At 43.4% G+C, this 16,216-nt stretch overlaps 1 protein-coding gene across 13 annotated transcripts in view; it reads right to left on the reverse strand.

The window, feature by feature from the left end:
* Positions 1-16,216, reverse strand: part of TRMT2B (tRNA methyltransferase 2B) — a 78,746-nt gene that overhangs the window by 37,762 nt on the left and 24,768 nt on the right. For all 13 annotated transcript variants that reach the window (XR_001755729.3, XM_005262196.3, NM_001167970.2 and 10 more), the window contains 6 exons: positions 12,343-12,489; positions 10,841-10,935; positions 9,974-10,188; positions 9,360-9,461; positions 8,157-8,276; positions 7,844-7,943 (listed from right to left, as the gene is read on the reverse strand). Coding sequence is in view for 12 of the 13 variants with exons in the window: in XM_005262196.3 (XP_005262253.1) it covers positions 7,844-7,943; positions 8,157-8,276; positions 9,360-9,461; positions 9,974-10,188; positions 10,841-10,935; positions 12,343-12,489 (779 nt within the window). In the remaining variant the exon portion in view is untranslated. The remainder of the gene's footprint in view (positions 1-7,843; positions 7,944-8,156; positions 8,277-9,359; positions 9,462-9,973; positions 10,189-10,840; positions 10,936-12,342; positions 12,490-16,216) is intronic.

Genomic DNA, 16,216 nt, shown 5'->3' on the forward strand with positions numbered 1-16,216 from the left:
GCATCACTTAACGATGGGGGTACATTCTGAAAATTGCATTGTTAGGCAATTTCTTCACTGTGTGAACATAATAGAGCATACTTACAAATATCTAGATGACAGAGCCTACTACACATCTAGGCTCTATGCTATAGCCTATTTCTCCTCAGCTACAAATCTGTACAGCATGTTACTGTACTGAATACTGTAGACAACTGTAACACAGTGGTAAGTATTTATATATCTAAACATTAAAAAGTACTGTAAAAATATAGTAGAAAAACTGGTCAACCTGGACAGCATAGTGAGACCCCATCTCTACAAAATTCTAATTTTAATTTTTAACTGATTTTAAAATTAGTTGGGTGTGGTAGTACATGCCTGTACTTCTAGCTACTCTGGGGGCTGAGGCCAGAGAATCACTTGAAACCAGGAGTTCAATACCAACCTGGGCAGCATAGCGAGACTCTGTCGTTACCAAAAAATAAAAAATAAATAAAATAAGGTCCGGGCATGGTGGCTCATGCCTGAAATCCCAGCACTTTGGGAGGCTGAGGTGAGAGGATTGCTTGAGCTCAGAAGTTCGAGACCAGCCGGGGCCACATGACAAAACCCTGTCTCTACAAAAAACACAAAAACTAGCCGGGCATGGTGGCTCGCACCTGTAGTGCCAGCTACTCAGGAGGCTGAGGCGGGAGGATGTCTTGAGCCCAGGAGATAAAGGTTGCAGTGAGCTGAGATCACACCACTATACTCTAGCCTGGGACAGGATCATCAATATCACTGTTTTGCACCTCCAAATCTTGTCCCACTAGAAGGTCTTCAGGGGCAATAACATACATGGAGCTGTCATCTCCTATGATAACAATGCCTTCTTCTGGAATACCTCCTGAAGGATCTGCCTGAGGCTGTTTTACAGTTAACTTTTAAAACATAAGTAGAAGGAGTATCTGCTAAAATAATACAAGTATAGTATAGAAAGTATATAAACCAGTAACACAGTCATTTTATTATCCAGTATTATGTACTATAGATAACTATATGTACTTAATTTTATAAGTGGTGATGCTGGTGTAAACAAACCTACTGACAGCACAGTAAGTTTGTTTACACCAGCATGACCACAAACATGTAAGTAACCCATGTGCTGAAATGTTACAACAGCTATGATGTCACTAGGCCATAGGAATTTTTCAGCTCCATTATAATTTTTTTTTCATTTATTATTATTATACTTTAAGTTTTAGGGTACATGTGCACAATGTGCAGGTTAGTTACATATGTATACATGTGCCATGCTGGTGCGCTGCCCCCACTAACTCATCATCTAGCATTAGGTATATCTCCCAATGCTATCCCTCCCCCCTCCCCCCAACCCACAACAGTCCCCAGAGTGTGATGGTCCCCTTCCTGTGTCCATGTGTTCTCATTGTTCAGTTCCCACCTATGAGTGAGAATATGCGGTGTTTGGTTTTTTGTTCTTGCGATAGTTTACTGAGAATGATGATAAATCATGCTGCTATAAAGACACATGCACACGTATGTTTATTGCGGCATTATTCACAATAGCAAAGACTTGGAACCAACCCAAATGTCCAACAATGATAGACTGGATTAAGAAAATGTGGCACATATACACCATGGAATACTACGCAGCCATAAAAAATGATGAGTTCATGTCCTTTGTAGGGACATGGATGAAATTGGAAATTTATTATTTTTTTTTTTTTGAGACGGAGTCTCACTCTATCACCCAGGCTGGAGTGCAGTGGCACAGTCTTGTCTCACTGCAACCTCCGCCTCCTGGATTCAAGCGATTTTCCTGCCTCAGTCTCCCAAATAGCTGGGATTACAGGCACACACCACCACCACACCCAGCTAATTTTTCTATTTTAGTAGAGACGGGCTTTTACCACGTTGGCCAGGCTGGTCTCAAACTCCTGACCTCAAGTGATCCGCCTACCTCAGCCTCCCGAAGTGCTGGGATTACAGGCGTGAGCCACCGCGCCCGGTCAGCTCCATTATAATCTTATGGCACCAACATCATATATTCAGTCCATTGTTGACTGAAATGTTATTATGCGACACAAGACTGTAGTTTAAATAGCATTATCCCATTATAATCAAATACATGACAAAAATATTCACTATCACATCTACAATGGAACATTTTCTTATGCAATATAATAAGCAAAAGGAAAAAATGAGTATTAGAAGGAGAGGGACAGAATTATTTTTACATGGTGATCATATGGTCAGCTACCACAACAATGTGAGAATCAACTAAAAAATGAATAAAACTAATAATAGAGTAAGGTAGCTGTATACCAGATTGGCAATAACTAATGAGAAAATGTCATGAAGGCTGGGTGCGGTGGCTCACACCTGTAATCCTAATACTTTGGGAGGCCAAGGCGGTTGGATCACCTGAGGTCAGGAGTTCAAGACCAGCCTGGCCAACATGGTGAAACCCTGTCTGTACTAAAAATACAAAAATTGGCTGGGCGTGGTGGTGCATACCTGTAATACCAGCTACTCAGGAGGCTGAGGCAGGAGAATCGCTTGAACCTGGGAGGTGGAGGCTGTAGTGAGCCGAGACCATGCCACTGCACTCCAGCAAGATGAGACTCCGTCTCAAAAAAAAAAAAAAAAAAAGAAAAGAAAATGTCATGAAAAGATCCCATTCATAATAAAAAGCTGGCCAGGCACAATGGCTCATGCCTATAAGCCCAACACTTTGGGAGGCTGAGGTGGGAGGATAGCTTGAGCCCCAGAGTTTAAGACCAGCTGGAATAACATAGTAAGACCCTGACTCTACAAAATTTTAAAAATTAGCCTGGTGTGGTGACTCACGCCTATAGTCCCAGCTACTTAGGAGGCTGAGGTGGAAGGATTGCTTGAGCCCAGGAGGTCAAGGCTGCAGGGAACTGTGATTGCACCACTGTACTCCAGCCTGGGCAACAGAGCAAGACTCCATCCCCCGCAAAAAAAAGCATCAAATAGAATAGTGCTTATAGTATGCTTCTACTTGTTTGATAAAAAAGGAGAGCTAGTATGTACACACGTACGTGTGCACACACATGCACTCATGCTTGTAGTGTCACAGAATATCTCTGGTAGTCCACACAAGAAACTGCTCAGAGTGGTGACATCTGAAAGACTAGGGGTCAGGAGTAAGAAACTCATTTTTACCCTATATTCTTTTGTATTATTTGAATTTTCTTTCTCTCTCTTTTTTTTACTGTTTTAGAGATGGGGTCTTACTCTATCACTAAGGCTGGAGTGCAGTGGCACAATCATAGCTCACTGCAGCCTTGAACTACTAGACTCAAGTGATCTTCCCAACTCACCCTCCTGAGTAGCTGGGATTATAAGCATGAGCCACTGTGTCTGGTTTATTTGAATTTTTTCTACCATATGCACATACTGACTTTTTTTTTTTAATTGAAACAGGATTTCCCTCTATTGCCCAGGCTGGAGTGAAGTTGAGTGATCACAGCTCACTGCATGCAGCCTTGACCCCACCAGGCTCAAGCGATCCGCCTATCTCAGCCTCCCAAGTACCTGGGACTATAGGCACATTACTACACCCAGCTAATTTTTGTATTTTTACTAGAGACAGGGTTTCACCATGTTGCCCAGGCTGTTCTCAAACTCCTGGGCTCAAGGAATCTGCCCGCCTCAGCCTCCCAAAGTGCTGGGATTACAGGTGTGAGCCACTGCACCCAGCCAAATTCTACACTTTAAGTGGGTGAAGTACGCGGGGAAAGTGATACATGCCCATAGTCCCAGCTACTAGGAGGTTGACACAGGAGGACTGCTTGATCCTAAGGGTTCAAGGCCAGCCTGAGCAACACAGCAAAACCTCATCTCTTTAGAAAAAAAAAAAGTTGAATTGTATGATATATGAGTTGTATCTCAATAAAGCTATTATTTTAAAAAAATACCTTAGAGATCTCTTATTATCAGAACATAGAGAACATCTGCATTTTTTATAGCAGTGTAGTGTTTCATTGAATGGATGTGGCATAGTTGATTTAACCAGTTCCCCACTAATGGACTTTGGGAGTATTTCAACTTTTCCTGTTAAATATTGCAATGAGTAACTTTGTAGATATGTCATTTTATGTGTGTGAGAGTATCTACAGGATAAAACCTCAGGAATGGAATTACCATGTGAAAGGGTATATATACATTTGTAATTTTAATCTATATTACTAAGTTTCCATCCATAGGGATAGCACCAACTTACACAGGGTTAGTACTCAATTTACACAACTCATTTTTTAGAATTATTTTCCCATATTATTACCAATAATGCATTATCAAGCTTTTGTACTTTTGTCAATCTGAGGTATAAAAAGAAGTACCTCAGGGTACTTCTAATTTGCATTTCTATCATTATGAGAGAGACAGCGTCCTCTCATATTTTGTAAATACCTTTATAATATTGCCTTTTCATATCCTCGGTTCATTTTTCTATTGGCTGCTGGAGTACAGTGGTGCAGTCTCAGCTTACCAATTTCTAGGAGTTTCTTAGATTAAGGAAAAAAGTCTTTGTGATGTGAACTGCAAATTATTTTCCAGTTTGTATGCTGTCTCCTGTCTTTGCTTACAGTGCTTTTCATCATGCATAAATTAATGATTTTTTTAATAGTCTTATTGAGATAATTTGCATACCATGCCGGGCACAGTGGCTCAGCCTGTAATCCCAACACTATGGGAGGCCAAGGTGGGCAGATCATCTGACGTCAGGAGTTTGAGACCAGCCTGGCCAACATGGTGAAACCCTGTCTCTACTAAAAACACAAAAATTAGCCAGGCGTGGTGGCAGGTGCCTGTAATCCCAGCTACATGGGAGGCTGAGGTAGGAGAATTGCTTGAACCAGGGAGGTGGAGGTTGCAGTGAGCCAAGATCATGCCACTGCACTCCAACCTGGGTGACGGAGTGAGATTCAGTCTCAAAAAAACAAAACAAAACAAAAAAACAATTCACACACCATACAGCTCACCCATTCATACAGTTCACTGGTTTTTAGTATATTCACAGAGTTATGCATCTATCACTACAATCAATTTCAGAACATTTCATTAGCTGAAGAAGATACCAAACACCCGTTAGCAATCAAGCCCCATTTAATCTCCAAAGCCCCACCCCCAGACCAAGGCAACAACCTATCTACTTTCTTTGTCTACAGATTTGCCTGTTCTAGATAGTTCCTATAAATGGAATGATATAATATGTGGTCTTTTGTGTCTGGCTTCTGAATACCAGTCCCTTATGAATGATTTGCAAATAGTTTCTCCTATTCTGTGGCTTGTCTTTCACCTTTCTCAATGGTATTTGTAGCACAAAACATCTTTTTAAATTTTGATTTTTTTTTTTTTGAGACAGGGTCTCACTCTGTCACCCAGGCTGGAGTACAGTGGCGTGATTTCAGTTTACTGCAGCCTTGACCTCCTGGATTCAAGCGATTCTCATGCCAAGTAGCTGGGATTACAGGCATGTGCCACTACGCCCAGCTAATTTTCGTGGTTTTTTTTTTTTTTTTTTTTTGAGACGGAGTTTCACTCTTGTTGTCCAGGCTGGAGTGCAATGGCGCAGTCTCAGCTCACTGCAACCTCCACCTCCTGGGTTCAAGCAGTTCTCCTGCCTCAGCCTCCCGAGCAGCTGGGATTACTCAGGTGATCTGCCCACCACCTCTTCCCAAAGTGCTGGGATTACAGGCCTGGGCCACTGTGCCCAGAAATATTTTCTTTTAATTTTAAAAAATTTCTTCCTATCGGGCCGGGTACGGTGGCTCATGCCTATAATCCCAGCACTTTGGGAGGCCAAGGTGGGCGGGTCACGAGGTCAAAAGTTCAAGACCAGCCTGGCCAACATGGTGAAACCCTGTCTCTACTAAGAATACAAAAATTAGCCAGGCATGTGGCACGTGCCTGTAATTCCAGCTACTCGGGAGGCTGAGGTAGGAGAATTGCTTGAACTCGGGAGGCGGAGGTTGCAGTGAGCCATGATCACACCACTGCACTCCAGCTTGGGCGACAGAGCAAGACTCCGTCTCAGGAAAAAAAAAATTTCTTCCTATCTGTAGTTATGCTCTCTTTCTCATTTAAGACTATATTTTTGTGTTTTGCCCCTTAATATTGTTGATTAGGCTTATTTATTTAATTTTTTTCTTCCAATAACACCTTCTCGCTTTCTCATCAAATCTACAGGTTTTTTTGTTTTGTAAGTCATTAATTTATGGATTTTTAAAATCATTATTGAGTTCTTCCTTCAGTTTCCTTTGGGTTTATTGTTCTTTTTCTAGCTCATGACTTGAAAGCTCAAATCACTTCGTTTTTTATACATTGACATATAATGATTACATAATTTTTAATTCTCATTTGTTTCATTCAAATATATAATCTGTACTTTATACCTGTCTGTTGTTTCAATGCTACAAATAAATTATATTGCTTATAGTAAAAAGTGAGAGAGAAAAAGATTACAAAATATAAAGATTTCAAAAATCAAAATAGCTGACCAGGGTCAGAACTAGAGTGAAGTGAAAGGCACTTGCATTGGGTGCAAAATTTAATAGGGTGCCAAAAAACTCAGTAATTGAATGTTTTGATGCAATATTTTAGAATATCAAATTGGAAAACTGCAGCCTACAGGCTAGCCACTTGCTTTTATAAGGTTTTATTGGAACCAAAGCCAGAATTCAGGTAAGGCTCACTGAGGCGGGGTTCAACAAGCACAAGGGCAGATCCCACCTTTCCCACCTTTTTAAAAAAATGTAATATTTTGTTCATCATGAATTATTTTGGATTAATTTTGATATTTGAAAATATTGGGCCAGACATGGTGGCTCATGCCTGTAATCTCAGCACTTTGGGAGGCCAAGGCAGGAGGATCACTTGAGCACAGGAGCTCAAGACCAGCCTGGGCAACATAGTGAGACTTCGTCTCTATAAAAAAATCAAAAAAATTAGCCAGGCACTTTGGTAGGCCGATGCAGGAGGATCACCTGCACCCAGGAGTTTGAGACAAGCCTGGGCAACATAGTGAGACCTTGTCTCTACAAAAAAAATTAAAAATTAGCCAGGTGTGGTGGTGTGCACCTGTAGTCTCAGCTACTTGGGAGGCTGAGGCAGGAGGATCTCATGAGCCCCAGGAGGTCAAGACTTCAGTGAGCCGTGATTGTGCCACTGTGCTCAACCTGGGTGACAGAGTGAGACTCTGTCTCAAAAGAAAAGAAAATATTGCACTAAAAATTTAGCCATTAAAAAAAGCTGTAGTGGAATAGAAACAAACAAAAAATATCTTGATTGCTGAGATTTTTAACACTTTTTTTTTTTTTTTTCTGAGACGGAGTCTCTCTCTGTCGCCCAGGCTGGAGTGCAATGGCGCGATCTTGGCTCTTGGCTCACTGCAACCTCTGCCTCCCGGGTTCAAGCGATTCTCCTGTCTCAACCACCCGAGTAGCTGGGATTACAGGCGCACGCCACCATGCCCAGCTAATCTTCTATATTTTTTTAGTAGACATGGGGTTTCACTGTGTTCCCCAGGGTGGTCTTGAACTCCTGAGCTCAGGCAATCCACCCACCTCGGCCTCCCAAAGTGCTAGGATTACTGGCGTGAGCCACCGCACCCGGCTGACACATTCTTAAATTTTGCACCCAAACTAAGTACCTGACTTGCCTCATCCCTGACCCAGCCCTGTAATTGAGTCTTAAAGGTGGTATTTTTTTTGTTTCAGTTTCTTTACACTTCTAATGACTTGAAAGCTCAAATCACTTTCCAATTGTGTGTACAATAAGCATGAATGGCTTTGATAATCAGAACAAAAAATTTTAAACAGAAGTCAAGACTTACTCAATGACATTCCTAGTGGATTCACCATGGAGCTTGCAGGAAACAAAAACTAGCGTGTGGATGGCCCTGAAGTTTCGAATGGCTTGAATCACCTTGTAATCTGAAGGAAGAAACACCTTGCTATTAGTATAATTAACTACCATGGTCTCTGTTATCACAAACTTCCAACTGACCAGAACTCAGGATTGATTAGAAATAGAGGGGAAACAGGTTCAGAGCCAGCCCACTGGGAGCACCCGTAGCATGGTGTGGAAAAGAAGAACCAAAGTTGATGGACAATACTGGGAACATCAAAATAGCTGTTCATCCTTACGCAGTCCGGCACGGGCTGGGTTCACCACAGCAACAATTGACTGTCCATCTTCCTTTGACTTTAGCAGCCCTGGCAAAATCTTCTCTGCTTGACCAGTATGAAATTCAGAGTTGGTGATGCCTATGGAAGACAGGCCCACAGGACATAACTCAAGCCCAGCAGTAAGGGAAAGCTTCAGCTTCACAGAAACGCACAGGAGCCAAGGGCTCTGCCATCTTCCCTTTGGATCTAGCATCACTCCAAGTAACAAGGAAAGAAGTGCTTTTGGACAGACCCACTTCATTTTTTCCAAAGTACTTTCCCTTGGAATATCTCAGTAAGCCTTTCAGCTTGAGCAACTAGTGTTTACACCTTTTTTTTTTTCTTTTGCGACAGAGTCTCACTCTGTCACCCAGACCAGAATGCAGTGGTGCGATCTCGGCACACTGCAACCTCCACCTCCCGGGTTCAAGCAATTCTCTGCCTCAGCCTCCCGAGTAGCTTGGATTACAGGCGCCTGCCACCACGACCGGCTAATTTTGTATTTTTAGTAGAGATGGGGTTTTACCATCTTGGCCAGGCTGGTCTTGAACTCCTGACCTCGTGATCCACCCACCTCAGCCTCCCAAAGTGCTGGAATTACAGGCATGAGCCACCATGCCCGGCTATTTTACAACTTCACAACTCACATAGCATGCAAGGACCTATACCAAGATGAGAACCTTGACTTTTGCTCAAGTGCTCTTCCTGCTATATCAGACATTTTCACCAAATGCCTCAGGAGCTTTCTGTAGGTGAAGCAGTGAGGGCAAGATGATCTATTTTCTATATTGCAGTTTGACAGAAGACTGTGTTTGAAGAAAAGGTTTTGTTGCTGAAAATATAGGTTTGACACCTATTGTATTATGCTATAAGGCCTCGTGAGTCTAATGCCAAGGAGATTCTTCTTCTATTCTGTCCAAAGTTTTGCAACTTTGTTTCCTATCAGCTAGACATGTATCTTCCCTTAGGTTCCTCTTCTGGATAGGAAAAAAGTTAGATATTGGTACCTATTCCAGAAAACCATGAGGATCTATTTCAGAAAACCATTCTGACCCCTCCAGAATTCCCTCCCTTCCTCCCTGTGGGTCAGGGATACAGTAGTTGCCTTTTCCCACACAACTCTTTCCATAGCACAGAAACAACTGCATCCCTTAATTTCTACACAGACTGTAAGCTGTGTACCATTGAAGGCTGCAGTCCATCTTGCATCCTCCACTGCCTGCTCCAACAATTCAATCCCAAGGACCCGAGATGTATGCTGAGCCAGAGAGAGGCCAATCACACCTGAAGAAGTAAACGAGAAGAAGAAGAAGGCATTTTAGGGTTTAGGTGTGGTAGTTTGTTTGTTTTTTGTTTAGTTTAGTTTAGTTTGTTTGTTTGTTTTAAACAGGGTCTCACTCTGTAGCCTAGGCTGGAGTGCAATGGCACAATCACAGTTCACTGCAGCCTCGACCTCCCGGGCTAAAGCAATCCTCCTCTCTCAGCCCCCTGAGTAGCTAAGACTACAGGTTCACGCCACTATGCCCAGCTAATTTTTAAATTTTTTGTAGAGACAGGGTCTCACTATGTTGCCCAGGCTAGTCTCCAACTCCTGGGCTCAACCAATCCTCCTGCCTTGCTTCACAAAGTGTTGGGATAACAGGCATAAGCAACCACACTTGGCTGCAGTTGTAGGGTTTTAGACCGACAAGGTTATACCTGCACCACTACCACTACCTCTCCCCGACCACCTCCGCAAGCTACAAGGGCCTTGGGAGCTGAGCAGCATGCAGATTCTGCCCTGGGCTTCCACTTGCCAGTTCCACAGCAGATGTCAAGAAGGATGGTGTCAGAGTTCACTCCAGTCAGCTCCCCCACAGTCCGATACAGCATCTCTGCACCAGCTGTGTTAATCTGGAAAAAGGCATCTGGAGAGATGCGGATCTTCAAGCTCAGAAGTTCTTCAAAGATGTAGGGTTCCCCAAACAGAAGCTGATAGGGAGACTGCTGATGGCTGCAACGGGTCATGGTACTGGAAAGGAATAAAAGAAGAAAGCATCTTGAGCTGTGAGCGGTGGCTCACGCCTGTAATCCCAGCACTTTGGGAGGCCGAGGCGGGCAGATCACCTAAGGTCAGGAGTTCGAGACCAGCCTGGCCAACATGGTGAAATCTCATCTCTACTGAAAATACAAAAATTAGCCAGGTGTGGTGGCACATGCCTGTAATCCAAGCTACTCAGGAGGCTGAGGTAGGAGAGTCACTTGAACTCGGGAGGCAGAGGTTGCAGTGAGCCAAGATTGTGCTACTGCCCTCCAGCCTGGGTAACAGAGCGAGACTCGGTCTCAAAGAAAAAAAAAAAGCAAAACAAAAAAAAGCATCTTGAAATGGCAGACCATCACATCCCTAGTGGTTGGGTAGACAGGGAGGCCCCAGCATCTCAGCTAGGAGACACAGTCCTTGCCGTGGCCCTGAGAGCTCTGCAAGGGTTTCCCCCTCAGGGGATGAAAGTCCATGTGGACACTCTCACATCTACATTCTGGCCTGTGTTCCAAGACCCAGCTGGTGTACAAGGACCAGAACCATTTAGCCAATATCCTCCACCATCAATCAGCAACCCTGCATCAGCAATCCATAAACCAAGAGTCTGGCAAGCCATCAGCCTATTTGGCTGTCCCAGGTTTACCTTTCCTGGAAGTAAAGTGAGGTCAAGCCACAGGCTGCTCCAGGACCTCTGATGAAAAATTCCTTTACAATCTCCTTCTGAACATGGAGCTCCTCCTGCCCAGACCATAAAATTAGCAGTTAAGCAAAGACTCATCTCTGACAAATTTTCTCTCTAAGCTCTATAGTAATCAGCCCTGCAGTAGTCAGATGTGAAGACATTTCACAAATCTTATTATAAATAACACTTAACATAAAGCAGGCCAGACATGATAGTTCATGCCTATAATCCCAGCACTTTGAGAGGCTGAGGTAGGAGGACTGCTTGAGCCCAGGAGTGTAAGACAAGCCTAGGCAACATAGCAACATCCTGTCTCTACAAGAAATCAAAAAGTCCGGGAGCGGCGGTTCACACCTGTAATCCCAGCACTTTGGAAGGCCAAGACAGGCAGATCAGTTGAGGTCAGGAGTTCCAGACCAGCCTGGCCAACATGGTGAAACCCCATCTCTACTAAAAATACAAAAATTAGCCGGGCGTGCTGGCACGTGCCTGTAATCCCAGCTACTTGGGAGGCTGAGTCAGGAGAATTGCTTGAACCCGGGAGGCGGAGGTTGCAGTGAACTGAGATCATGCCATTGCACTCCAGCCTGGGTGAAGAAGCGAGACTCTGTCTCAAAAAAAAAAAAAAAAAATCAAAAAAATTAGCCAGGTGTGGTGACGTATGCCTGTAGTCCCAGTTACTTGAGAGGCTGAGGTGGGAAGATTGCTTGAGCCCAGCAGTTTGAGGCTACAGTGAGCTTTGATTGCACCACTGCACTCCAATCTGGGCAACAGAGTGAGACACTGTCTCAAAATATAAAAAATAAAATTCTTACATAACTACAGAAAGCCTAAGTATTAGCTTGATACCAGGATATATTGCAATAAACCATGTAGGAACAATAGGGTTAAAAACATCAGGCATCAAAGGACCTGGGTTCAAATCCTAGCTTTGCTATTTACTGATTCTTTAACCTTGGGTATTTCTATGCCTCCATTTCCTCAGGTGTAAAATGAGGGTGACAATATCTTTCCTCCTGCCTACTTTACAAGTTTGTTGAGATGATCACATAAGTATACGAATGTTTTAACACAGGTATGTTTGAAAGCACCAAGTGCATGACAAATGTAAAGTACTATTTGGGTTATGAAATTCTGACACTGCAGTCTCTATTGAATTGGCATTTGGATTTGGAAGAGCAACTACTACCATGGGCAAAGTTCTTGTGAAATTACTTGGGAGTTCTCACATGGTAATTAACTTGGCAGCCTAGCCACAGTCTCTGTGGTTTGATTATGCGAGCAGTATGGTTAAATAGTATCCTTGCCATCTTCTCCTCATCCCTAACCCCTCTCCCCAATTGACACAAATATTCTGTGGATGTACTGTTTCTGCTATATGCCCTGAAACTTCCAAAAAACCAATTACAGTTATAGTTAGTAGTAGTAAAAGTTAAGGTTGCTTAACATCTTGTGAGGCTCACCTGACTTAATTTCTGGGGATGGAAAGTGATGATAGCCATTGTGTGCCCTTGGCTATTGGTGCGGACTGTGAGCTCACGCCAGTATCCACCTTCATGAAATACAAGGCAGGGCTCCAATGGAGACTGTCGAAGGAATACTTCATAGTACTAGGAAGAGAACCGAATTATTACACAAGCAAAACTAGCAAGTTTCACAGCTGTTTACTCATGCTAGGTGATTGTTTGTGTTACATTGTGTCCCCCAAAAATTCCTATGTTGAAGCCTTAACCACCAGTACTCAAAATGTGTCTATACTTTGAGACAGGGCCTTTAAAGAGGTGATTTACTTAAAATGAGGCAGTTAAGGCAGGCCTTAATCCAATCTCACTGATGTCCTTTTTTTATTTTTTATTTTTCAGACGGAGTCTCACTCTGTCACCTAGGCTGGAGTGCAGTGGCATGATCTCGGCTCACTGCAACCTCCGCCACCCGGGTTCAAGCAATTCTCCTGCCTCAGCCTCCTGAGTAGCTGGGATCACAGATGCCCACCACCAAGCCTGGCTAATTTTTGTATTTTTAGTAGACACGAGGTTTCACCATGTTGGCCAGGCTGGTCACAAACTCCTGACTTCAGGTGATCCTCCTGCCTCGGCCTCCTAAAGTGCTGGGATTACAGCCGTGAGCCACCGCACCATGCCTGCTGTCCTTATAAGAGAAAATGTGGACACACAGAGACACCAAGGTTGGGTGCACAAAGAAAAAGACCATGTGTGGACACAGCAAGAAGGTGTCTATGCAAGCCGAGGAGGGAGGTCTCAGCAGAAACCAAATCAGTGGAGACTCTGATCTTAGACTTGCTAGCTTCCAGACAAGGAGGAAATAAACTTCTGTTAAGCCACTCAGTCTGCCGTATTTTGTAATGGCAGCCCTTGCAGACAAATACAGTGATATAAGAAACATGATTGACTGGGCACAGTGGCTCAAACCTGTAATCCTAGCACTTTGGGAGGCCAACGTGGGAGGATTGCTTATGTCCAGGAGTTCAAGACCACCTGGGCAACATGGCCTGTCTACAAAAAATAAAAAAAATTAGGCCGGGTGCAGTGGCTCAAGCCTATATTCCCAGCACTTTGGGAGGCCAAGGCGGGTGGATCACTTTGAGGTCAGGAGTTCGAGACCAGCTGGGCCAACATGGCAACCCCGTCTCTACTAAAAATACAAAATTTAGCCGGGCATCAGGGCAGGCACCTGTAATCTCAGCTACTTGGGAGGCTGAGGCAGGAGAATTGCTTGAACCCAGGAGGCGGGTTGCAGTGAGCCAAGATCGCACCACTGCACTCCAGCCTGGGCAACAGAGTGAGACTCTATCTCAAAAAAACAGCAACAACAACAACAAAATTAGCCAGGCATGGTGACACACGCCTGTAGCCCCAGCTACTCAAGAAGGTGGGGTGGGAGGATCGCCTGAGCCCAGGTGGTCAAGGCTGCAGTGAGCCGAGATCTTACCACTGCACTCCAACCTGGGCAACCTGTGTCTCGGAAAAAAAAAAAAGAATCATGATCCCTGCCCTGTAACTTTACAGAGGATGCTATCAATTATATCTTGAACTGTAAGCTCCATGGAGCTAGAGTTGTTTCCTTAGTCTGACATATGTGTTCAATAAATATTATTGAAAAATTTTATGAATGACTGAACAGGAAAGGTATTCTTATTTAGAACTTCAGTTTATTTATGGAAAATAATCTTCCCTTTCTGTGAATTCCTAATGTATTACTAAGCTGCTATGATTCCACTCTTACTTTTAATGTCCTGATATAAGCACATCATTTCTATATTTTTTCATATAACCTGGTACCAACTATATTATGGCTTAGTCAGATCCTCCATTTCCTCCTGGTATATACAAGTCAAATGCAATCCTGATTTAGTTGTTGTGATCTCAAAAATCCTTAAAGCCAATTGCTGCCATAACAGGAAACACCATCTGATTTACTAGGTCCTTTTGTTCTCATAATGCATGTGTTCTGGGTCCACTGGGTTCTCAAACAAACCACAAATTATGTAGTAAAGGGGGGAATTATACAAAAAAACAGTGCTACCTGAGAGGTAAGATCAATTAAGGTTGTACTTGATCACTTTTGCTATAATTTCATATAAGATGTCCTTGATTTTTACTCAACATAGTTTTCAAATTTTAAGGTTGGTGATTTAAAGAAAGCCTAGTTCCACTGGGCGTGATCCCTCCCACCTGTAATTCCAGCACTTTGAGAGGCCGAGGTGGGCAGATCATTTGAGGTCAGGGGTTCAAGACCAGCCTGACCAACATGGCAAAACCCCGTCTCTACTAAAAATACAAAATTTTGCCAGACATGGTGGCGGGCACCTGTAATCCCAGCTACTTGGGAGGCTGAGGCAGAAGAATCGCTTGAACCTGGAGGTTGTAGTGAGCTGAGATTGTGCCACTGCACTCCAGCCTAGGCGAGAGTGAGACTCCATCAAAAGAGAAAGAAAAGAAAGAAAGAAAGAAGAAGAAAGGGAGGGAGGGAAAGAAAGAGAGACAGAAAGAGAGAGAAGGACAGAAGGGAGGGAGGAAGGAAGGGAGGGAGGGAGGGAGGAAGGAAGGAAGGAAAGAAAGAAAAAAAGAGAGGAAGGAAGAAAGAAATTCTGACTAGTTCAACTGTTGTTTACTGGCTGGTTAGAAAGAAATGCTTTTTGGAAGCAAGATTCAAATATCATATAAAGCCTGGTGCAGTGTCTCTCGCCTATAATCCCAGTATTCTGGGAGGCCAAGGCAGGTAGGTGGATCACCTGAGGTCAGGAGTTTGAGACCAGCCCGGGCAACATGGTAAAACTCCATCTCTACTAAAAGTACAAAAATTAGCCAGGCGTGGTGGCACACACCTGTAATCTCAGCTACTTAGGAGGCTGAGCAGGAGAATCGCTGGAACGCAGGAGGCAGAAGTTGCAGTGAGCCGAGATCACACCACAGCACTCCAGCCTGGGTGACAGAGCAAAACTCCGTCTCAAAAAAAAAAAAAAAAAAGTCATATAGGTTCTGGAAGGATGGTAATTGAAAAACTGAGCTTGACCTAAAAGATAATGGGTAAATATGAAATGCAGCTTCTCCACTGTATGACCTAGGGTCTTGGTTTCTTCACTGTAAGATGGAAACTGAAACTCCTGTTCTTATATGGGAATGCTTAAGTAAGTATTAAGATTAAAGGGAACTTCTGGTTAAAATAACAGAATATTCCACCTAAAATAACAGAATATTCCACCTAAAAATCCTACTAAGTGAAAATCCTACTAAAATGAAACAAAGGAATTAAAAAGGCATAAGCTTATTTAGGTTCATTGTTTCCAACAATTCTCCCTTCTCTCTCCTGCACCATCATTGCCTTCGCTCAGTACTGGATCATTCCCATCAATATACTATCAGATTGCTTTTACTCTCCCATTTTAAGCAGAATAAAAAAGGAATCTTCTTGACCCTATATTCCCCAACTCTGCTCCTCTTTGTCGTAAAACTAATCACAAGAACTGAACCTATTCACTGCCTCCCATTCTTCTCCTTCTACTCACCCATCTGAATCAAGTCACCACTACTCCGCGAAAACAGTACACATTAAGGTCACCCCCAACCTCCTTGTTATGAAATCCAATGGTCCACTCTAAGTCCTCACTTCCTTGACCTATCGGCAAGCATTGGGCACAGGTGATAAGCCACTCCTTCTCTGTTTACTTTCTTCCTCTGGCTCCCAGGGAAACCTTACTCCAGTTTCTTTCTTTTTTTTTTTTTTGAGATGGAGTCTCACTCTGTCGCCAGGTTGGAGTGCAGTGGCGCGATCTCGGTTCACTGCAACCTCCGCCTCCCGGGTTCAAGCGATTCTAAT

The sequence above is a fragment of the Homo sapiens genome, chromosome X (genome assembly GCF_000001405.40).
Source record: "Homo sapiens chromosome X, GRCh38.p14 Primary Assembly".
NCBI classification, from domain to species: domain Eukaryota; kingdom Metazoa; phylum Chordata; class Mammalia; order Primates; family Hominidae; genus Homo; species Homo sapiens.